At 50.1% G+C, this 22,933-nt stretch overlaps 1 protein-coding gene and 1 non-coding gene across 44 annotated transcripts in view, besides 1 other annotated feature; both read right to left on the bottom strand.

Moving 5' to 3' along the window:
- PTK2B (protein tyrosine kinase 2 beta) overlaps window positions 1-22,933 on the bottom strand; it is a 148,886-nt gene that overhangs the window by 7,707 nt on the left and 118,246 nt on the right. For 22 of the 43 annotated variants that reach the window (XM_047421544.1, XM_047421545.1, XM_047421543.1 and 19 more), the window contains 22 exons: window positions 21,530-21,592; window positions 21,267-21,321; window positions 20,669-20,809; window positions 20,213-20,287; window positions 19,324-19,425; window positions 18,133-18,250; window positions 17,553-17,592; window positions 17,126-17,172; window positions 15,892-15,942; window positions 15,337-15,434; window positions 14,479-14,563; window positions 14,189-14,289; window positions 13,805-13,920; window positions 12,554-12,654; window positions 12,287-12,376; window positions 11,244-11,448; window positions 8,702-8,810; window positions 7,414-7,479; window positions 5,766-5,891; window positions 790-936; window positions 607-642; window positions 176-200 (listed from right to left, as the gene is read on the bottom strand). In XM_047421544.1, coding sequence (XP_047277500.1) covers window positions 176-200; window positions 607-642; window positions 790-936; window positions 5,766-5,891; window positions 7,414-7,479; window positions 8,702-8,810; window positions 11,244-11,448; window positions 12,287-12,376; window positions 12,554-12,654; window positions 13,805-13,920; window positions 14,189-14,289; window positions 14,479-14,563; window positions 15,337-15,434; window positions 15,892-15,942; window positions 17,126-17,172; window positions 17,553-17,592; window positions 18,133-18,250; window positions 19,324-19,425; window positions 20,213-20,287; window positions 20,669-20,809; window positions 21,267-21,321; window positions 21,530-21,592 — 1,997 coding nt within the window. The remainder of the gene's footprint in view (window positions 1-175; window positions 201-606; window positions 643-789; window positions 937-5,765; window positions 5,892-7,413; window positions 7,480-8,701; window positions 8,811-11,243; window positions 11,449-12,286; window positions 12,377-12,553; window positions 12,655-13,804; window positions 13,921-14,188; window positions 14,290-14,478; window positions 14,564-15,336; window positions 15,435-15,891; window positions 15,943-17,125; window positions 17,173-17,552; window positions 17,593-18,132; window positions 18,251-19,323; window positions 19,426-20,212; window positions 20,288-20,668; window positions 20,810-21,266; window positions 21,322-21,529; window positions 21,593-22,933) is intronic. The other 21 variants (XM_047421557.1, XM_047421555.1, XM_047421556.1 and 18 more) reach the window with 6 other exon arrangements.
- MIR6842 (microRNA 6842) lies at window positions 18,251-18,315 on the bottom strand. The gene has a single exon (NR_106901.1). It is a non-coding gene; the product is annotated as a microRNA 6842 (primary transcript).
- Window positions 20,634-21,350: an enhancer, noted in NCBI's record as "H3K4me1 hESC enhancer chr8:27287852-27288568 (GRCh37/hg19 assembly coordinates)". NCBI's record gives its function as "activates a minimal SCP1, AML or CMV promoter by ChIP-STARR-seq in naive H9 embryonic stem cells {active_cell/tissue: H9 hESC(naive)}" and the evidence as "EXISTENCE:reporter gene assay evidence [ECO:0000049][PMID:30033119]".

Below are 22,933 nucleotides of genomic sequence, written 5' to 3'. Positions count from 1 at the left end.
TGGAGGGAGCGGAGGGGAAGCTGGCCTGCCCCACATGCTCTGAATTAAATCATGGCCGATGCTGCAGGGAATGCAGACAGACTCCGCTGCTCCCTGCCCTGGGCGGTGGGCAAGGATGGTGGCTCTGCACAAGGTGCCAAGAGGAAACCCCCCGAAGAAGGGCGGGAACACTCACGGTAGCCGACCTCCTTCTCTGGCGTCTGGAGGAAGGAGGAAAGAGAACAGGAACGTCACTCATGCGGCTGTGGAGACAACCCCCTCCCTGGTTACCCATTCCCCAGTCCCTCCACTGTGTGTTTAGAGATTACAGCCATGGGGTCGGGGGTGCTTCTGGGAGCAGCTCGTGACCCAATGTGACCTTTCTGGGAGGCCGAGGGGCCCTGGGGAGGGCCACAGACAGCACTAAGGGCACGATCACAGGAGAGTTCAGGAAAAGGGCCATGTAGGGATTGGCAGAAAAGGAAAAGACACCCTCCCAACATGGAAAGCCATTGAGGAGGAGCTGGGCAGGCCTGGGGGTAGGAGCAAGTTGGGCGGGGGGTCCTATGGTGGGCGAGGCCTTCCCAGGCCTTGGCATGGAGGAGGCGGCCTCTCCTGGCAACTCACCAATGGGGACTTATCATTCATATAAACCATGGGGTCCTGCAGAGGAAGAAACAAGAGCGAAGGACTAAGAATTCTGGAGCTGAAAGCACCAAGAATGCAGGGGACCCTTGCCCCAGCCACCTGGGGAGGTGGAAGAGGACACAGATGGGTGCAGGGCACCGACATCCTTCCTGGGGTGCTCACCAGGGACTTCTCCTCCTGCCTGAGCCACTGGTAGTCCTCCACCATCTGCTTCTGCTGTTTGTCCAGGATTTGCCGCATTTTGACCTTTTCAGCCTCCCACAGCTGCTGGGCCTCTTCTCGGCTGCTGGGTTGGATGAAGTCCTCCTCCTGGGAGGACGGCAGAGAGAAGGGAGAGGATGCAATGAGCCCTGCTCTCAGACTCAGGGAGGGACAGTCCTCTGAAGAACCTCATGGCAGCTGCAAGCCTTGGCCTGGCCAGCTGCTTTTTTCTCATAAGTTTGTTCTTAAACCCAGAGCTATATGTGCAGACAGCTATCCAGTATCAGCCCCGAGCATGTATCTGCGTTGCAATGTGATACCAAACCCAAGAACCCACTGCTCAACGTGCGCTGTATTCAAATGATTACACGATCTGCTCATGATATTTTACCAAGTGACTGCCCTACTATTATCTCAGTGTTTGTGATGGTTGTTGTCATTTAATATATTTTAAAAAGAAAAGCTATTAAAGTCTATTAAAATCTATTTTAAAATCTACTAAAAGCATCCAAAGGGTTTCCAAGGGGCTGGCTTTGCTTAGTTGGAGAGCATCACACCCTTCTGATGCTATCTCCACCTAAGGACCAAGGTGGCAGGTCTGGAAGCTTCGAGAGACAGGGGTGCTGCCTCTAGCCTCACGGTGTGCAGTCCCACGTGTGTCCATGAATGAGCAGAGCCTGAGAGAACAAGCAACAGCATGCACCCACCAACCATGCCTTCCTATTAAGACACATTCTTTATTAAGATAATAGCTTGGGTTATTTAACTAAATGTTAGGAGAAATGCATGAGCTAAGAGATAAAATAAGGAACAAAATTTCATGAAATACAGCTCTATAGAGATAAGATAAATGCAATCATAGCTTGAGTTATTTAACCAATGATTAGAAGAAATTCATGAACTAATAGATAAAATGAAAAACAAAATTCAAAGAAATATAGTTTGATAGAGAGAAGATAAATGCTTCCTCTCCCTAGATCTAGTAATCTAACTCTTGCTTTAACTTACCTCTGGGGCTTTGGACCTATTCATAATTTTAGCTGCTAGTTCCTAAACAGAAAGTATTGCATGTCTTCCTATTTTCATTCAGTCTTCCCCCACGGTTCATTTGTATAAATATCTGCTCAGTGTCTCTAAACTATTTTGCTCTTGTTGTGCTGCACATGGGGACCCTGGCCTCCTGGACAGATGGAGGAGGAATATTATTGGCATCCTCTTGATTGCACAAAGCCCAGGAGTTGCCTTTGCTAGGGCAGGATTCTTCTGTGACATCTAAGCTGGCAGGTCCCTCAGTTCCTTGCCTTTGAAGTGGCCATTTGCATACAGGTCACTTGCAGAAGATGCTAACAATTATCTCTATCTACTTTTAGCAAGCAATAATTCCTACCAAGCCTCTTAAAAGAGTTTCCTCACTAAGCCCTACAAAACACACTTGAATATTACAATATGGTCTAAAAGTGGTTATATTGGGATGTTTTACTTAGTGCACACTGAGCTTCAATTACTAACCTCAATTTCTAATCACACGTTTCCCCATGAGTTAGGTTTCTTGCTGAAATATTTATTCATTAATCTATTCAACAATTATTTATTAAGCAACTACTATGTGGCAGGGCTGGGTGCTGGGAGGACAGTGATGTTAAACTATACGATGTTCTTATTCTCGTGGGGTTAAGTAAATACTAGTCAGACCAAGGCTCCTCAACCTCAGCACTACTGACATTTGGAGCCAGACAAGTCCTTATTTCCAGGGCAATTTCCTGTGCATTGTACGATGCTTAGCAGCATCTCTGGCCTCCCCACAATATATGCCTATAGCACCACCCCAGTTGTAACAAAAATGCTGCCAGACATTGTCAAATGTCCTCTCAGAGGGAAAATAACTTAGCTGAGAACCACTGAGCTAGACCTTATTTTAGGAAAACAAATTCCAGCATATAAGAGTATTTTATAATCATGGAATTGATAAAAATAAAATAGGTTTTGTTGATCAGAGGCTGATACTCAAAAATGAGGACATTTTAAGGCCATAAAAATCCCCAGTTAAATGTCAACACCTGCAGACACAATGGCATGGCTGCCCCAGGCTGTTGACAAATAGTGACAAACAGGAACTAAGTGTCAAAAGTTCTAAATATAGAGTTAGGGATTTCTGGATGTGAGAAAAATGTATGGGTTAAGGAAGAGTATGGTAAGTACCAGTTGGATGAGCTACTAGAATCAAGAAAATTCTACAAGTATTTGTAAGTATTTGTAAGTTTATAAGTGTTGACAGAAGATTCCACCACTAAAATGCCTAGCATGCCTCAGGCCTGATCGTACCACATATTCTAACAAACACAGATTAGGAGACATCCTGATGCCTTCCAATTTCATAATAAAACTCAAGGAGAAAAATGAACACTCAAAAAAATGGAATCTCTTTGAGGTTGGTTTTGCTGAAATGCGCCTCCAATATTCTTATTAGGTAATGGATACTTACATTGCTCATTACATTCTATTCTTAAAAGGAATTGGGTACTCATGGTGTTTTAAAATGACTCTCGTAAGTTGTGACACCTTCCATAATCTGGCTATGACCCATCTGTTGGCTTTATTTCCACATCCACAAGTACCCTTCCTGCTGTAGTCCAACAGTTCTTGCACTTGTCCTGTGGTTTCCCACCACTCAGTCTTGCCTCCTACTGAAGCCCCTGCCTCTTCCATTCCCTGAATCTCAGTTTCCTCCTGTCCACATCTTTCCCATCTTTCAAGGCCCAACTTTTAAATAGAAGCTGGAAAGGGTTGTCCTCCTCTCTGAACTCCCACTTTGTGGTACCCACGACCTTCTGGCTTGCATTACAGGTAAGTGTGCACCTGGTCTGATCCTTCTGGTCGACTGTAAGCGCTTTGAAAGCAGCGCCTCCCCCCTTCAGCACCGAGGACAGCGTCCAGCAATCACAGCAAGCCCTACTGTTTATTGAATTGTATTATTTTTATTTTATTTATTTTTATTTTTGAGACAGGGTTTTGCTCTGTTGCCCAGGTTGGAGTGCAGTGGCGTGATCTCAGCTCACTGCAACCTCTGCCTCCCAGGTTCAAGTGATCTCCTGCCTCAGCCTCCTGAGTAGCTGGGATTACAGGTGCACACTACCATGCCTGACTAATTTTTTGTATTTTTAGTACAGATGGGGTTTTGCCATGATGGCCAGGCTGGTCTCAGACTCCTGACATCAAGTGATCCACCCACCTTGGCCTCCCAAAATGCTGGGATTACAGGCGTGAGCCACCACGCCTGGCCTTGAATTGTATTATTTTTAAAGCTCAATTGTGAGGTCTTCAGGAGAGAGACTGCTGCCATCCCAATGCTGGTATGGCATCCCACAGACTCCCTGATGAGTCAGGCTATAGAGCCACTCAGTAGAAAAACTGTTTTTCTGGGAACACCACCTCTGTATTTTTGTTAAATGCTTCCAAATGCTTTGTGAGGAGCCTATTATACCTTCTCAGCATTCTACCTGGAAGAGACTTTCTCAGTGTTTCTGATCTGTGTCATAAAATGGAGCTTATATTTTTAACTTTTTTGGGTTTGTTTATTTAAAGACATGCTCATTATGTTCTTTTAGGCAGATTTTCCTTATGTCAATTACTTCTAAAGCCCTGATACAAAAGGTCTTTTTTCCTACTGCACAATCTCTTTATGGAACTGAACAAGGTCCTTGTGGAGAAGCAGGAAATTGGACGAAGGCAATGCTACCCCTCAAATGTGCAAAATAGCTTCTTTCTAAAATAACACAATTTAAAGCAAAACTTACTAAAACAATCATTTATGAATAGAGAGTCAAAGGCAGGAGGGTGGAGAAACCGAACACAGCCTAAATTATAGCACATGCCTAAAAATGTAGTTTATTATTGTTAAGCACACGCAAAGACAGAAATTGGTTAAATTAATATAAAAGAGAAAAACGAGGTAGGTCAGAGGAAAATTGATTTCACAAAAAATCTTAGTGTCTGGAATTCTAAGTTATCATGCTCATTTCAAAATTCTACTAAATTAAGCATAATGGCATGAAAGTAATATCAGCATACTTGCCTACATCTTCCAAATATATTATGATAAACATCTAATTTTTTTCAAAAAATATTTTAGTCATGTTTAGTGAGCCTGAAATATTGTGCATGCATGCAGAGTTAGAGCTAAAATAAGTGTTTTAGTTGGTTTAGTAAAATAGATCAAGTGTTCGTGGCAACTGACCACTAGGGGCCATTTGTATGGAAGAAGGTGGTTGGTGACCAGTGGGCATCTGGTTATAAGCAAAAGTGTCTTTTTCACACAAGACCTGACAATCAGAAGCCAGCCATGAAGCACTCCGGGCTTCACCAGCAGTTAACAACCCCCCGTGACAAAGAGCTGACAAGGGAAGTGGCTTAGGTCCCTGCTCTAGCCAGTTAATGAGGCTGTATTCCCACTAGCCCTAAACTCCTTCTCACCCAGCAGCAGCCTGAACAAAAGCAGAAAGGGGAGCAGCCACAAGAAAGCCTTTCCTTTGACTGAGGAGAGATTTCACACCCAAAGCCATCATTTAGGAAGGATACTCTCCAGCACCACTAAGCTGTGCTGTGCCCTGCCTAGGAGCCTCCAAGCTGCCACAGATCCCCCTACCCCTGGGGCTCAGGAGAGGGGGAGATTTGTACATCTCTAGCCATAGCACCAGCATGGCCAAGGGCAGGTTAGGTCCAGCTGGTGTCCTCCAGAGCAGGGCCTGGTGTGGCTGCCAGCCTCTGATGTGTTTGCAAAGGGAAGGAAGTCACAGAGTGCCACCTCAGTGGCCTGACTGGTGCATGGGAACAGGAAGGGCCCTCCTGAGCTGAGGACGTGGGGTTTCCAGTGTCCCCGGCCACCTCCCTCCAGCAGCCTCCTCAGTCCGGGCAGGGACCAGCATGCAGAGCCCTCTTACCCGCATGCTGTGGCGTTTGAAGACATTGTGCCGGTGGAGAGGTGGGGTGTGCAGTGAGTTAACGGGAGATGGATACTCCATAGGGCTGGTGAGCGTAGGAGAGCTGGCACACAGACCCTCAGGAACCTATTCAGGAAAAGCAAAGAAGCACAAGGCACGGGACAAAGCGAGAAGGTAGACAATTAGCTGCTACAAACACGAGCACAAAGAAACTATGCATGAGCACCACAGGGAATGGGGCTTGCTCTCCAGGAGTTAATAAAGAACAAAACGTGGGCCTTCCATTGCTCCGAGAGAGATGGTGGAGCAGTGCAGCCTCTCATTCATCCAACATTCCCCCAAGATGCTCTGCACACAGTGGGGTCCATGCTGGTTACGGACCCACTGAGACCAGGGCTCTTCCTTCAGGACTCTTCAAAAAATAGTTGTTTCAGTTGCATTACAGACTGACTGATGTGGTTAACACACCAATTTATACAGATATGTATGAATTGTTTTTTAAAAATTCAGATAGGCTCTTGCTCTGTTGCCCAGGCTGGGATGCAGTGGTATGATCACAGCTCACTGCAGCCTTAAACTCTTGGCCTCAAGTAATCCTCTTGCCTCAGCCTCCCACATAGCTGGGACTACGGATGCATGCCACCATGCCTGCCTTGAATTTTTTTTAATTAAAAAATAAGTATATCACAATTTTATTGTATTACTATTTGTTTTTAGAGATGGGGTCTCACTATATTGCCCAGGCTGGTCTCAAACTCCTGAGCTCAATGAATCCTCCCATCTCACCCTCCTTAGTAGCTGGGACTACAGGTGTGTTCCACCCTACCTAACTCCCTGTTTTAAATATTGCACATGGGTATATCTCTTTTTTTTCAGAACGATTTTTCCATCTTCTGAATCAGGCTTTCTCTTCACGTGAAGAGGATTTATCTATTAGTCCTTAGATGGTCTTGTTTTGGCACTCAGGCATTTCCTTGAGAACAAATATAGGACCATGGGACACCACCTTTCTATAAAGGGCACCAACTAAATGGACATTATTTCTGGTGGTTGAGGGGATCAATTTTTGAGCAGTGGCTCTGAGCTGGGGGATGCAAGAGAAGAAATAAGAGGAGACTGGACTCCCTCTCTCCTAGAGGCAAGAGAGACACAGAACAGAGACATTCAGGGTCAGGGACGCACAGCCTGGGAAAGAGTCATGGTTGGGGATAATGGAGCTGGGAGAAAGCTCAGGTAAAACCCTGCTGTCTCTTCAATGGCCACCCAGGTTCTGGATGGGGCCTCTTTGGGGAGTCCCATGGAGCTACTCCATTTGTTGGGAAATATTCCCTGGGATTCCTTCTGGTAAGGAGGCCAGGGAGGCCTTAGATGTGGGGAGAGAGCAGCAGGCAGGCACACAAAGCAGCAGATGATGTAGACAGAGGGATGGGGCTTAAGGCAGGTCTTAGCTGAGCACAGCCTGGGAGAACTGCATTTTAATTCTTGTGATCTGAGTCTGCATTCTGTTCTGGGTGCCAAAGAAGAGTCAACCTAGGCCATCTCCATCACCCAAGTGGGTGACTGCTGCTCCTCTAAGGCACAAGAATGGAGTTTCAGGACCTGGATGAGAGGTAGACCTGAAGTTCCCGTCCTCTGGTTCTATCTTTACCTGGAACTGCAGCTTTGGAGCCAGGAGGTTGGTTTGCGGAGGGGGTCTGTACTTAGGTCGGCTGGGCTGGAGAGAGAACACAGATGGGTCAGTCTCTGTCCCTCTCCTTGAGTGAACACAACTCACCAAGGGGAACATCAGGTCAAAGACACCTCAGGCTTGTTCCAAAGGAAGGAAAGTTGAGGGACAAAGCTGTCATGAAACTCATTTTGCATCCATTTATTGAGCACTGATTATCTACTGAGTGGTGGAAGGTACAAAGAAGCCACCTCACTGCCCTCCCGGGGCTATGGCTAATTGGAGGGTTAATGATTGGTGCATGTGTTGCTTCCCTATACGTGGGAGCACCCACCAAGTCAGAGCTCCAGAGCCACAGGCATGCAGAGGTAGGAGCTCACCAGGGGCTTGGGCATTCACAGAAGCTGCATGGAGGAGATGAACGCTGAGCCAGGCCCGCGGGGAGGGGTGGGACATGCCAGGCAAGAGGGACAAGTGAGAAAAGGCCTTAGATGGGATCAGACATTGTTATGGACTGAATATTTGTCCCCCTTTTCAATTTGCATGTTGAAGCCTGAACCCCCAATGTGATAGCATTAAGGAAGTGCAGGTTTTTGGAGGTAATTAGGGTTAGATGAGGTTATGAGGATGGAGCCCTTATAAGAAGAGAAAGAAAGACCACTCTGTGTCTGCCAGGTAAAAACACAGTGAGAAGGTGGTTGTCTGTAAGCCAGGCAGAGAGCCCTCACAAGACACCAACACCTTGATCTTGGACTTCCCAGCCTCCAGAACTGTGAGAGATAAACATCTGCTGTTTAAGCCACTTGGTCTGTGGTCTTTTGTTGCAGCAGCTCCAGTTGACTAAGACAGGCACGGCCTCTCAGACCCACCCACCTAATGGCAGCAGGGCCCTGGCTCCTGAGCTCAGGGTGGCCATGCGGGGTATAGATGTAGGGACTGGACCTAAAAGACCCAGGATACTTCCCACCCATGTGTCCTCAGGGGGATCTCATTTGTTCCTAAGAAAACACCTAGAAGAGAAGCCCAGCCCCTCAGGGGACACTTTTGAGGAATGATTCTTGACCCAGCTATCCCACAAGGTGGCTGCTATCTCCAAGTCCACCTGCCAGGGCACTGATGTGACACGCTGACAGTGATGGTGGATGCTGGGTGAAGGACTGAGAAAGGGCTGTAGGGGGCATCCTGCCTGTGCAGTAAGGGGGACATGGATCAGACAGGGACCTGGCTTTGCTTTGACTCACAGGACTTATGAGGCCATGGCTTGGCTTACCTTGGGTGGGGGTTCCTGGAAGGCTGTGGGCTCCAAGATTTTGGGGGTTCGGTAGCGAGCATTCCTCTCTTGCTCCATGGCAATGTCCTTCTCCATCTGATAAACGTCACTGCAGGGAGTCACGTCAGATAAGGAGAGAAACTAGGTCAAAGTGAGACGCTCCTTGGGGCTCCTCTTTGTACTTCGTGGAGGCCCAGAGAGGCCTGGGCAAGGTTGCTAGGTCCCATTTCCGTTTCGATCTTCACTGCAGAGTGTCCTGGGGAGAGCCCCCTGAGACAGGCTTGGATATGGGCCCTGAGGCCACACTGAGGTTGGGAGGATCACAGGAATGGATCCAAGGTGGAAAAGCGTCCTTGGTGAGCCAGTCCCAGCCCAAACATGCAGCAGGAGCCTGACTGCAGCCCCACTCCTCAGGCCTTTTGCCCTCCTGGGCTTGTGATTGGCACCAAACCCCTATGTAGATTTCCAAAGTCCCAGCCAACTTCATGGCCCTGGCCTAGAATCTACATCTCCTATTTCTCATGAAACATCCCCCAACGCATCCCCGGTATGTGCTAATGAGGCATGTGGGTTCACTCCCAGGCTAGCCATGTGCGCGCCTCTCACCTTTCTTACCCAATCCAGTGCTCCTAACCTGGAATCACAGACCCCAGAGGACTCTGGAATTATTACTGCCCATGAATCCACATGTTCATATGGGTAGCAAGTATTATATACTACTGAATATGTGACACTTGATACTATATTTTCAAGTGTGTATATATTTTATTATGTATAATAAAAATGCATTATATAGCCCACTACATTTTGTTCAGCAAAAGATTTTTAAAATATAACTATTGTTACACAGAGACACTCAAAATTTGACATTAGAAGGGCCTTTCCTCCCTGGAACGGTTAGGAAACACTGATCAAATCCCTTCTGAACTCTAAGGAGGAAGAGTCAGGTGGTGGTCTGAGGAAGCAACCTGGGGTCTTCTGAGTCTTTCAGTGTTTTCCAGATCACACCAGAAACCTGCTCCCACCTCCACTTGTGGCAGAGGCCTGGTCGATGCCTCTGATGGGAACACCTCTCAGCCCAGGAGATGATGGGAACACCTCTCAGCCCAGGAGAGACACCTGCACAGCTCCCTGTGGCTCTCAAGGCCTCAGAGTGAATCAGGACTCCCAGCTCCATCCCCCCAGGGCTTTTAACCTCCCAAATTACATCCTTCAAATACTTTTATCCTGCAGCCTTTTGACTTCTCAAACCTCCCATACAAGGGACCAACACAGGAGTCTAGAATTAACTGGGAGGCTCACTGAAGGGATAGAGAGGAACAGAGATGCCTTTTAAGCCAGAGGTTTTACAGATGATGTTGAAGGCCCTGCCCCACAGAAAACATGCAGGGTCACCCTCAGTGCCCCTGGCCTGGGCATTGCTGGCATCCCCTGGGGTGCCTCCCCACCAGGCAGTTTTCAGGGACTGTTTACTTGCCCTAAAATCAAACAAGGCAACATGTTGACTACAGTATTTAAAATCAGTATTAAAGTACAGTATTAAAAATATTTTTCAAGTCAATTAAGTTCCAGACTCCCTAAAGTAGGGTTCAGCAAATAAGCGCCCAGAGGGAAAATCTGGCCTTTCATCTATTTTTGTATGGACCCAAATGAAGAATGGTTTTCACATTGTTTCAATGACTGAAAAAAATTAAAAGACAAAAAATATTTCATGACACATGAAACTTATTTGAAATTCATATTTCAGCATCCAAAATGGTGTTTCACTGGAGCCCAGCTACACCCATTCATCGATGTATTGTCTGTGGCTGTTTTTGAGCTAAGAGAGTTAGCAGTTTTGGCAGAGACTTGCATAAACAGCAAAGCCCCAAATATTTACTATTTGGCCCTTTATAGAAAATGCTTACTGACTCCCACCCCAGAGGAAACCAAAAGAAGTCAGATCTCCCACAGGAGGGCTAATGGCAGGCTTGCCACCAAGAAAACTGGGGGACCCTGAACCTCTGAAACAGATGACCTTCTTCCCCAGTGACCTCCCCAGACCTAGGGAATCATGGCTCCTGGGCACCGACGGGCCCTCAGGTCCCTTATCCCCCATTCAGAAGGGAGAGGTGGCCCCTGGGTCATAGTCTTGAAAACAGGTCAAAGATCACTCCCTTCCTTGCTATCTGGGAGGAAAGATCAAAGTCGAGAGACAAGGCGAGAGGAAAGCAGGTAGGATGCCTCAACATCACAAAGAGCACAGGCACTTCGATGAGAGTCTGGCTCAGGCTTTTGAGTCTAACCTAGAAAATATTTTCTGAGCACATCCTTTGAACAAGGCTCTGTGCTCTGTGTTGACAGATGCCCAGATGAGTCAGGCTTCCCCACGGCTGCCTTATCTCTGAGCTCATATCTGACAGTGAACCTGGCTTCAGCCTCCTGTCCTTGACCCTGGCCCGTCTTCTTTAGGGAGATGTGGTGCAAACCTCTCTGTGTGCTGGTCTTGCTCCCTGGTGCAGCCGGGTGGGCCCCCAGCCCACAGCCCACACTCCATGCTCACCTGAGGCTGCACACCAGCTCGGTGAAGCGGGGCCGGTCACTGGGGTCGTAGTCCCAGCAGCGGGTCATGAGGGTATAAAGGACCGGTGGACAGAGATCAGGCTTGGGCAGCCGGTCTCCTTTCTCCAGCACCCCGATGACATCCTTGTTCTCCAGCCAGAAGAAGGGCTGCTTCCCAAAGCTCAGGATCTCCCACATGCACACGGCTGGGGTGTAAGGGAGCGTCAGGCCCTGGGTGGGGGAGACCAGTCCCTCCCACCCAGAAGCACCATCGCCATTAGCACTCAGTCTCCACCAGGAGCAGCTCCTGCGGTCCCTCCTCCTCCTCCAGCACCCTGGGGTCCTGCCTACCATGGTGGTCTGCCCGAGGGACAAGTGACCTACCTCTGCAGTAAGTGACCTAAGGCCTTGCTCGCTAGACCCCTGTCAGGGTGCTGCAGGATCAAGAGGTGGCAGTCATGGCATGCTATTGGGACCACAAGTGTCTTCTCTTAGGAGGGAGGGGAGCCACTCCTTAGTAAAGCTGGAAATGGAAGCCTCGCACCAACACTTGGTGCCTGTGTGATTGCGGGCAGGCTCCTGACTCATCTGAGCCTCAGTTTTCGTAACAGGAAAATGAGAGTAATAATAATGTTCTACAGGGTTGGCTGTGGGAGCACTAAGTGAGATGGTTTGCAGGAGGTGTTCCGTAAGGGGCTGTCTCTCTACACCTGCCTTTGCTCTCTCTCCTTCCTGTACCTCTCTCAGAATAAGTCACAGAGTTTCGTCTTAGTTTCTGGGGCTGGTAGGTGGAGCACACATGTCACAAGAGCCTCTTCCAGGAAGATGAGCCTGCACAGCCCAGGCCAGTCCTTAGCCTGGGTCACTCCCCTTCCTACCCCTACTGGCCTCCCCACCTCTGAGACTTCTCAGTGGCCACAGCAAAATAGAACCCTGGGAACGGAGGGTGGAGGTCAGACCCCTGCTCCCTGCACCCACCCCCTTAGCCTGGTTCAGAAGTGAGAATCTGAACACCTTTTCATGCCCTCCCAAATCAGCACTCACCGAACATCCAGACGTCACTGGCTGTCGTGAAGCGTCGGAAGTTAATGGACTCTGGGGACATCCATTTGATGGGGAGACGAGTCACAGAGGCTTTGGGTGGGCAAAGAGGTTGATTTTTAGGGAAGAAAGATCAGAATTATCCAGAAATACATCCTACTTTCTGAAGACCCTTAGCCTGGGCTGTCCAACTGTAGACTTCCTTCTTCTGGAATTTTTGGCTTCAGCGACCCCTCCAAGGCCAATGCAGAGGCTGGGAAGCCCCCTCACCTTTGTAATAGTCCTCGTCCTCAATGTACCGGGAAAGACCAAAGTCCCCCAGCTTCACACACTCAGGGGAGGCCACCAGGATGTTCCGGACAGCAATGTCCCTGGAAGAAGGGCATCAAGACCAGGATGAGGCACTGCCCACCCCCATGGGAGCAGGAACAGAGAGATGGACAGACAGATGGAAAAAGAGACCAAGAATCTAAGCCAGGGACTCGGACTCCAGAGCAGAATCGGGCAGCTTCTGTGGGTCACTGCCCCCATCGAGTGGTCTTGCCACAGCACACCTCAGGTGGGAGCCCAGCTGGCCCCTCTGCACCCCAACATGCACAGGTGCTTTGCCATCTCCTTCCCTCTTGCTGTTGGGCTCTGTCTCCCATCACCCCTTCATCCATCTCCAGCTTGAAGCCTGGCTCAGATTCCTGGCATCTGCTACACTCCACTTCTGTGCTGTTGCCTACACTGTCCCCCATGCCAGGGAGGCTGTCACCTGGTGATTCTTCAAGGATAAACTCCAACCACTTCCCTGAACACAGGTATTCTCTCTCATCTGCATTTCCACAGGACTGGTTAGGTCTTTGGTATAGCAGGAGTGGCAGCGGCAGCACAGCTAACTCTGATGGGGCACTTAGGATACCAGGATCGCATGAGAGCTTCACACACCCTGAGTCAGGCACAAGGCCACAGAGCCAATGTCAATGGTGGGTAATGCCCAACCACTGACTCCCTTGGGGGTCAGGTTCTCATGGCAGGGAATGGGAACAAAGCCAGGTAAAGCAGGGGCCAACTCCACAGCCACAGGGAGACTTGGATTTGGCAGCCCAGGGGTGTCGGCAACCAGGGTGATGTCTGGCCTAGGACCCCAGGATCTTCTTGGCCCTGCTCCAGCCCAGTCCCTTCTTCCTGGGCCATGTGCCACCAAGCCAGGGAGCTGGAGGTGAGCAAGCTCTGAGCAAGGTTGGGGGCGATTTCCTGGCACTCACAGGGGAGGGGCTAGAAGGTCTTGATATATAGACAGACACCTCGGACTTCAGAGTTACTCGTAACAACCCCATGAGGTACATACAGTGCCTGCAACTTTACAGATGAGGACACAGGGTCAGAGAGGTTGCTCAAGTGCTCAAAGCTGCTGGGCCAATTGCTGGGATTCCAACACTGCTCTGTGTCACCCACAAGCCCTGCTTCTACCCAGAGGCCTTGAGGATCTGGTGAAGGCCTGGCTTCCATACCGCTGGCCACTCCCTCCACCCCTACCTGTGCACGCAGTTGATGCTCTCCAGGTAGGCCATGGCTTTGCATATCTGCAGTGAGTACAGCACGAGGGTGAGCACCTTCAGGGAGTTCTTGTTCCGCTCCAGGTAGTGGCCCAGCTGCAGGAATGGGGAGGTGCCATCAAGACCCCTGGTTGGTCCCAGTATGGAGCCAGGGGACCAGGGTGCTGGCAACCCCTGACCCTTCCCTGGGGGCGGTGGGAGACAAACCCAAAGCTGGCAAAATGTTCCAGCAATTTCCTTGACAAACAGGGCCTCTGGCTTATTTCAGTGGAACACAGAAGTCAGGAAGCTGGGAGGAATGGGCTGTGCTCTGAATGCCCCCCATGCTGCAGCCCAGTTGTCATCGCAGGGTCCTCCAGCTCACCTCCCCATAGGGATACAATTCCATGATGATCCAGGTGGGCTCCTCTTCAATGATGCCGATCAGCTTCACGATGTGCGGGTGGTCGAGGTTCTTCATGATCACTGCAGTGTGGTGGGGCAAGAGGGACAGGTGGAGCGGCTCAAAGGTCCAATTCAGAAAAGGCCTTTGCTCTTCTAGCTGGGAGGACGGGAACCCCTCCTCCAACATGGGTCCCTGCACTGTTCACCCCTCTCTTCCCAGGCTGAAGCCCCTCCCATCTTGGAGGCCTGGTTGGTCTCAGGGGTCCCTACCTGCCTCGCTCATGAACTTCTCCTTGTTGTCCAGAGTGCAGTCTTTCTTGCAGGTCTTGACAGCTACATTGATTTTCTCCCCTTTCTGTAACAAGAGTGTGTTCAGGACCCCTTGGTCCAGCCCAGTGCTCAGCAGAATGTTCCCTCCTGGCCTCCCCATGGCCTCCTGCAGATTTTGCTGCCAGGAAAGGGCCCTTTCTCCTATGTCTCTCTTCTTCTCCCCTTTGTCTTCCTCTCTTCTCCTTCTCCACTCCCCTTCTTCTTGATCAGGGTCTGTTAGAACTGAAAAGGGCTGTAGTGGTCAAATGAGTCAAGCCCCTGGCCATCCAGATGAGGACACTGAGACTGAGGGGCCGTGTGACCTGCCCAAAGCCAGAGGCACCTGCAAGCCATTATCATGCCTGGGGGCTGGGCCTTTCTCTATCATTGGATTTTTCATTCTTACTGCCTCTTTCTTTCTTCCCCTGGGCCTGCTAGAAGCGTTACCACAGCGGTCAGCCTTACCCTGCCCCATCACTGGCCTTGACACTAACTCCAGATCCTGCCTCACCTTTTCTCAGAACTGTCTTTATCCCGCCTCCCCCTTTGTATTCTCCCACCAAGAATACTGACCCTTCTCCAGGTTCTGCCTATATCTCCACCCCTGGTATTTTGCTACCCTTCTTGGAAATGACTCTTGTCTCCACCACTCTTTGAGTATTTAATAAATACCACCATGCCCAGTGGACAAGAGGCCCTTAGGGACAAGGGGCCCCAAGTGGATGAAGGCTGTGCCAACTCCAACCTGCTCAGATTCGAGCTCTGTCTCACCCTACAGACATGTGGAAGAGGAGTGTAAGGGAAGATCCTAGAACTCACGTGATTTGTGTAGACACCTTCATAGACCTCCCCAAAAAAGCCTTCCCCAAGAATACGATTCAGGACCACATCTTCACGGGCAATGCCATACTGTGGACCTGCACAGACAGAGAAAACAGTCGCAGATCACAGAGATCGGTGGTATCCCCTAGGGAACCTGAGTGTCTGCAGGCTCTAAAGCCAGGCGTCACCAGATCTATAACACCTCAGCCAAGATCCAGGGACTGGGCTGGGGAAATGGGGGTCTAGAATGTTCCACTGTCTCAGACCCAGGGAAGAGCCATCACCCTGCTCCCTCTGAAGGCTAGGTCCCAGGTCCACGTTACTAGAATCCCCGCACAGCTCCATGGGCACACAAAAGGTCAATCAGTATAGGGAGAGAAAAAAAAATCTCAGCTTTCAAATCCAAGGCATCTCAGGTTTGCCACTGTCTAAGTCTAGCACGAAGGGAGGATAAAGGAGGAAAAGAATGTTCCCTGTGGTGTCACCAGAGTCCTTGCCATGTCATTTCACAGGGCCTTGACTACGGTCGCTGTGGCGGGGTCGAGAACCTACCTCCGGGCCTTCGCAGGGTTTCGTCGGGAATCTCTGCGTAGATGTCTGACTCTGGAACAACAGGAAGAGGCTCAGCCGTGGACAAGATGCCCTTGGTGGGCACCGCCAGGAATCAGGTGTGGGGCTCCCTGCTGGAGGCCAGTGGAGCCCAAGGGGGTAGGAGGAGAAGCCAGGCATGTCCCGGGCTCCCAGCCCAGGTTTTAGAGTGGCCACAGAGCCCAGGGCACCTTGGCTGAACTCCCTGCTCTCTGCTTCCCGATTTGCATTATTTAGGGCAAGTTGGTTAATCTCCCTTAATCTCAGTTTTCCCTTTTATGAAATGAGTATTGGGGGATGCTATAAAGATTGAATCAAATAATACCTGTTGCATGTTTAATACCATTAAGGACTGGATGTTTGTGTACCTCCCAAATTCCTTTGTTGAAGCCCTAATTCCCAATGCGATGGGATTAGGAGGTGGGGCCTTTGGGAGGTGGTGCAGTCCTGAGCGTGGAGCCCCCATAATGGGATCTGTGCTCATGTACACAGAAGAAGAGAGGCCAGAACTCTCTGTTCATCACGTGAGCCCACAGTGAAAGGATAGCTATCTGCAAATGAGGATGAAAGCCCTCACCAGATGCAGACTCAGCCAGCACCTTGATCTTGGACTTCCAGCCTCTAGAACTGTGAGCAATAAAGTATCTGGTTTTAAGCCACCCAGTCTATAGTATTTTGTTATGGCAGCCCAAGCTGCTTAAGCCATGTACTAAGTACTCAATACACACTAGCGATTACTACTCATGATTTTTTTTTTTTGAGATGGAGTCTTGCTGGGTTGACAGGCTGGAGTGCAGTGGTGCCATCTCAGCTCACTGCAACCTCCGCCTTCCAGGTTCAAGCTATTTTCCTGCCTCAGCCTCCCAAGTAGCTGGGACTACAGGCACATGCCACCATGCCCATCCAATTTTTGTATTTTTAGTAGAAATGGGGTGTCACCATGTTGGTCAGGATGGTCTTGATTTCTTGACCTCATGATCCATCCACTTTGGCCTCCCAAAGTGCTGGGATTACAGGCATGAGCCACTGCACCCAGCCATAATTCACGATATTTTAAAGCCATCACTGAGAAGTTATGGGAGAGGATCATTTTTCTGTCACTTGGAGGAAACCCTCGGCAATGTCACGAGAGCAAGCAGTGGGGAGCAAGCAGACGGGAGGCAACTGGAGCAGGTGGAGGATGCAGCGGGCAGCTCACCTATGCTGCAGCTCTCTGAGAGGTGGGACCGCCGGGCCTCCAGGTTTCTGTAGGAGGTGAGAGAGCAGAAGCCAGGTGAGCTCAGAGGCCGGTAATGTTCCCCTGGGCAGCCTCGGCCCGCCCTCTCCTCCTGCCCCCTGTGGAGAAGTAGTCTGTCCAAATTAGCAATGACCTGGGAGCACAGCCCAGGCTGCTGGGGGCTGGAGTTGGGGGACAGCAGCAACCCCCCAGGATAACACCAGGTGGCATGAAGGCATAGGAATATTCCTGCAGGTATTTATTGGGAGGGAAAGATCATCTTTTTTCAGGGTTCTCCTGGGCCTGAAAGCCAGAAACTATGGAGGTGGGGACTCCCAGTTTATTCTTATTCCTCTCAGCAGCACAGGCTGAGCTCAGGGCCCTGTCCTCTGCACCCCATTGTACTCACAGCATGGGGATCTGGGGCAGGCTGTTCCGCTTCTCACCATCTAGGAAGAGAGGAGGAAGGAGGAGGTTGGAGCTGGGGACACAGGGACCTGGATGGGTGACTGACCTCCTCACTATTCCTACAAGGGACTCTCCTCCCATCCCAGCCCCTAATTCCATTCTCTCCTAGCCTGGGAGCTAGTGAGGCCTTGGGCCAGAAGTGGAATCCTCCTTGGAGGCTGCCTCAGGCCAGATTTCACGTGCTCCAGCTGTGACCCCTGCTTCCTGAATCTGACCCAAGATGGAGACACACACAGGCGGGACCAGCCTTCTACTAGCAATGGCTTTGAGCTTGCTGGGGCTAAAACGCCTCTCCTCCAGAAGCTGCCTCTATGTGGACCTTGATTAGCAGGGCTGTGGGTAGGTGGACCGGCCAGGGCTTAAAGCCTAAGATGGGCCCACTGGAAGCTTCCCGCTGGGCTGTGGGGGAAGAATCCTCATTCACTTATCCATCAGTGGCTTAGCTTCTGCCACTCCGCCTCTGGGGACTCGGGTGTGCTGCCACCCGTGGTCCAGCCACTTTACCTTTAAATGGAACCCACCTTTCCTAGGATGGATGATGAGAGAGCCTTGGTGCTCACCCTGCAGCCGGCAGTAGCCGTCTATGAGGTCAGCCATGTTCTCAGCCTCTGCTAGGGATGAGGTTTTGATGGACAAGGCCTGCGGAGCAGAGACCAGCCAAGGGTGAGACCCCAGAGCCTTGGCTAGAGACCACCCCCAGGGCTGGAGAAGAGATGGCAGGACCCCTGCCACAACCCTTGCCTGGATGCCAATGCTGTCTGCACCTCTCCTGGGGCCCTGCCCTGGAGTCCAGACTGCACTCTGTCACCCCTTTCACCTGTACGCCCATGCTCTCCAAAGGCCAGTCCCAGGCCTCACTTATTTTGGCCTCTGAGCACATAGCACGATGCCTGGTACCTAGTAGGTGCTCAATAAATAGAAGCAGAAACTGAGAAAATGGAAGAGGGGGCTGGGCACAGTGGCTCATGCCTATAATCCCAGCACTTTAGGAGGCCGAGGCAGGCAGATCACCTGAGGTCAGGAGTTTGAGACCAGCCTGGCCAACATGGTGAAACCCTGTGTCTACTAAAAGTACAAAAATTAGTTGGGCCTTGTGGCATGCACCTGTAGTCCCAGCTACTCAGGAGGCTGAGGCAGGAGAATCTCTTGAACTGTGGAGGTGGAGGTTACAGTGAGCTGAGATTGCACCACTGCACTGTAGCCTGGGTGACAGAGTGAGACTTTGTCTAAAAAAAAGAAAGAAAGAAAGAAAGAGGAAGGGGAGGCAATGGGGCAGGGCACAGATGGGTGAAAGGAGAGAGAGATGCAGCCTGAGGTCTCTCTGGGTGTTTTACTGTAAAAAACAAACAAACAAACAAACAAAAAAACCCATGTTTTTGAGGTCTTGATGTCCGCATCCTTGTTCTCTTGGTATAACTTAGGCCTGTGATTTATACCTGATTTCTGGTCACCTTGAACATTCCACTACCTGAAAACCTTCCCAATTTCTTCTCCTGACATTAAAAAAATTGTTTCCCGAATTTTCCTACAATTTATCATCATCCTGGTACCTTTTGTCTAAGAACTTGGTGCAGTTTTCTTAACACGATCCCCAAAGCCAGGAAGCTCCTGGCTTCCTGTGTGTCACAGACTTTTGGTCTGAGCAAGAGCTCCCAATCTGCCATTATACCCCCTGCAGAGCTGCCAGGTGCCCAGTGCCCAGAGACACTCACCTGGGGGGCACCTTCAATGCCCAGCTGAAGTACTGCCTGGCCCTCCTCCAGCGGGAGGCACCTGATGGACCTGATCTGCTTGAACTCGGCCAGGCAGGTGGGCTGTGGGAAAAGAAGGGGGAGCTTCAGACCATCCCACTACCAGGACTAGGCCATGCAGATTGGTCAGTATGGGGGAGCCGGGGTGAGGAGGAACTGGGAGTTTCTCTGGGAGATGAAGAGAGAATCAAACACTATTAAGGCTAGAAGGATCCTCTAGTTCAGGGGTGTCCAATCTTTTGGCTTCCCTGGGCCACATTGGAAGAAGAATTGTCTTGGACCACACATAAAATACACTAACACTACTTGATGAAGGTAAAAAAAAAAATCGCACAAAAAAATCTCAACATGTTTTAAGAAAGTTTACGAATTTGTGGTGGGCTGCATTCAAAGCCATCCTGGGACCACAGGCTTGATCTAGACCAAGCCCCTCCCTATGCCAAGGAGAAAATGAGGTCTAGAGAAAGCCAGGACTTGCTCAACATCATGTGCCAAGCTGGCAGTGGAGCCAGGACTGGACCCAGGTCCCCTGACTTCCAAGGGAATCATGCCTTATATTGTCACTGAAAGAGCAACACTGCTGAGCTCTGCGAGTAATCATTGAGGCCTTGTCTCCCCCTCCCACCACCTCTGTGCAGATGACAGTCACAGGGATGTAAAGGGCCATCTGTCCCATGCTGCCATCTCTAAATGCTCTCCACTGCTGCTCACGCCAGGGCATGGCCTTAGAAGAACTCTGCTTTCAGCAACAGGGGCAAGAAGAACTGAAGGGGCAGACAGGGCGGGAGGCAGCAGAGAGGGGACGACCTCCCCGCCTGGGGCTGGGTGGGGCTGCCCCGGGTCTCTCTACCTTTGCGTCCTGACTAGTCAGCTGGCGGATCCCTTTAGGGCCAATGACCAGGTCCACAGTAATGTTCCATCCTTGCTGGAATAAAAGGAGAGTGGACTGTTGTTCCAGAGCTGTCCTCCCCATTCTTCAGAAACTTGAAGAAAAGCTCCCTAAGCTAGACACAAGCCACTGTTTCCTGGGTCTCCAGCTCCTTCTCACCGAAACCCTGGCCATATGGATCTTCCCCTCCTGACACCTTGCCTGTCCTGCCCACCTCCCAGAGCTGGAGGCCAACATTTCAGTGCCTGCTTCAGGCAAGGGGATGCTTTTGACTTCCACCGACGGCAGGTCAGCGAGGTCCTGCTGCCTGAGTGAGAATCTGCAGCGATTGCAGCCTCTCCCTGCCCCCTCCTGGCCCCCTTTTCCGAGAGGCCTGGAATCCAGGTCAGGGAGAGGATCAAGAGAGCCCGCCATTACAATGAGTTCACAGCGGTAGGTCTCCTGGTCGATGTTGGCGAAGCCGGCGAGAGTGTTGAAGAACTTCATGACGCACTCCTCCTCCCTGAGCGAGGCGTACTGCTGGAAGGTCTGCTGGATCATCTTCCGGAACTGTTTGGGCTGGGGGAGGGGATGGGCCGTGTGAGCAATGCCTGCTCCTCCCAGGTCTCACTCCTTCCCTTAGGGTCTCGCTGAGAGACTGCCCACTGCTCGAAAATGATCCCCAGGGCCTTTGCCCCAAAAGCAGCTGTGATCTATGACCTAAAACCCATACCCATTGTCTCAAGGGAGACTCCCCGTAACCCTACGAAGGAGGTTGAGGGGGCGAGGGGTAGCTTCCCAGTACTGGGGCCGCAGAGCTGATACGGCCTCGATACGGAGCCGGAGCCCAGGCATGTAACAGTTGGATCCCCAGCCCCAGAGAGGACCCCTGGGTACATTTAGTGGTCCTGTGTCCAAATGCCCGAGGCCGCGCAGATACCCTGGCTTCTCTGAGTATCCCCAGCCCCAGCCTCATCCCTTACACTCTAGTCTCGGGAATCAGCACGAAGAGGTCCTCGCCCATTGGTTTCCTCACCTTTAAGTTCTCCTGCATCTGCTTTGGGAAAAACAAGTCCAGCCCCACTTCCTTTCTGCAAGAAGGAAGAAAAAGGCAGCATGTGACTCCCCCTCACCCCCACCACAGGACTGCGGGCCAATCAGGAAGAGGTGAGAGGGCTTTGGGACCTAGAGACGGCCCTATGTGGCTCTGGTCTGGGGAGGGGTGGAGGAGAGGGTGAGGAGGAAAAGTACACATGGAAGGACAGGAAGGGAGGGGAGATGGGTGATCCCAGAACTTACTCTAGGAGCTCGAAGTTGGACTTCTTGTCAAGTGCATTGTGGGGCATATCCTTGAAGAACCGCCTGGAGAAATAGGTGGTGGAGAGGGAGGCTGAAGGCTGGAGAATGAGGCAGTCAGACCCAGGGCACCTCATGCCACCAGAAGCCCCCTTCCCCTGCCATACGTGGGAATCATCAGGAGAAAGGAAGTTAGGAGAGTCATAAAATTTAGTATTTTGACCTGTGAGGAAAAGGAAACCCCACAAATGTCATTCCAAGAAAAGACTCCAGCCTTGCATCCTAGGAAACTCACTTTAGGAATGGGCAGATACTGGGCTGAGGAGGAAGATGGTGGCTCCATCTGTGGCCTCTAAGAACAAAGGCCCAAGGCAGCCAATGCTTGAATGATCAGCCTAGGAACACTGACCTTCACCTGCAGGTCCTGGGGGGCTCTTGTGATTTCCTTTTCACTTATTTGCTATCTCTGAGATATTATATGTGTGTATGTTTGTGTGTTCATTTAGACACTTGTTAAAGGTACCACTGTACATATACAAACTTTAGGACTTACAGAAGAAAATAAAATTATTCATAGTCTTACCAGAGGAGGCAGCTATTAATATTTTACTCATATTATTTAAGTCTCATTTCCCCTAAAAATGTATGCCTTGATAAATACTTTTATGCAATTGTGGCTTAAGCTGAGACCAAATAGCTAATGTTCTCACATGTGCCAGCCTCCCTTCCCTGTCTGGGCCACTGTGACTAGTAATTTCATTGACTGTTGCAGACATTATCCTACTCCTGATCTTATATTAAAGTCATTCAGTGTTCCTTTAATTCGGGCATCCTTATAAATATCTGGTAAAAGTTTTGTGCAACTAATAATATAAGCAGAGTGAGGGAAGTAACTTATGATTCAAAAGCAATGACTTTTAGACAGTTCATTGTCTTTAGAAAATAGGAAGGTTAGGCCGAATGTGTTGGCTCATGACTGTAATCCCAGCACTTAGGGAGGCCGAGGTGGGCAAATCACAACGTCAAGAGATTGAGACCATCCTGGCCAACATGGTGAAACCTTGTCTCTACTAAAAACACAAAAATTAGCCAGGCATGGTGGCACGTACTACTCGGGAGGCTGAGGCAGGAGAATCACTTGAACCCAGGAGGCGGAGGTTGCAGTGAGCCGAGATTGCACCATTGCACTCCAGCATGGGTGACAAGAGTGAAACTCCGTCTCAAAAGAATTAAAAAGAAGACACTCAAGGCATGAAATCATAGAGGAAATATCTAATAAAAATATAAAATGTAAAACGCTATATCCTTAATAATTTTTAATAAATGGTATCTTTGAATATACTGTCAAGCAAAATAAGTAATTACCTCTTAAGAAATATGGTCCCAATTTTGCACTCTGTGCCCCAG

This window comes from Homo sapiens, chromosome 8, assembly GCF_000001405.40.
Source record: "Homo sapiens chromosome 8, GRCh38.p14 Primary Assembly".
In the NCBI taxonomy this organism is placed as follows: Eukaryota; Metazoa; Chordata; class Mammalia; order Primates; family Hominidae; genus Homo; species Homo sapiens.
Note: the sequence above shows the minus strand (reverse complement) of the source record. Positions and strands in the feature narration are given on the sequence as shown.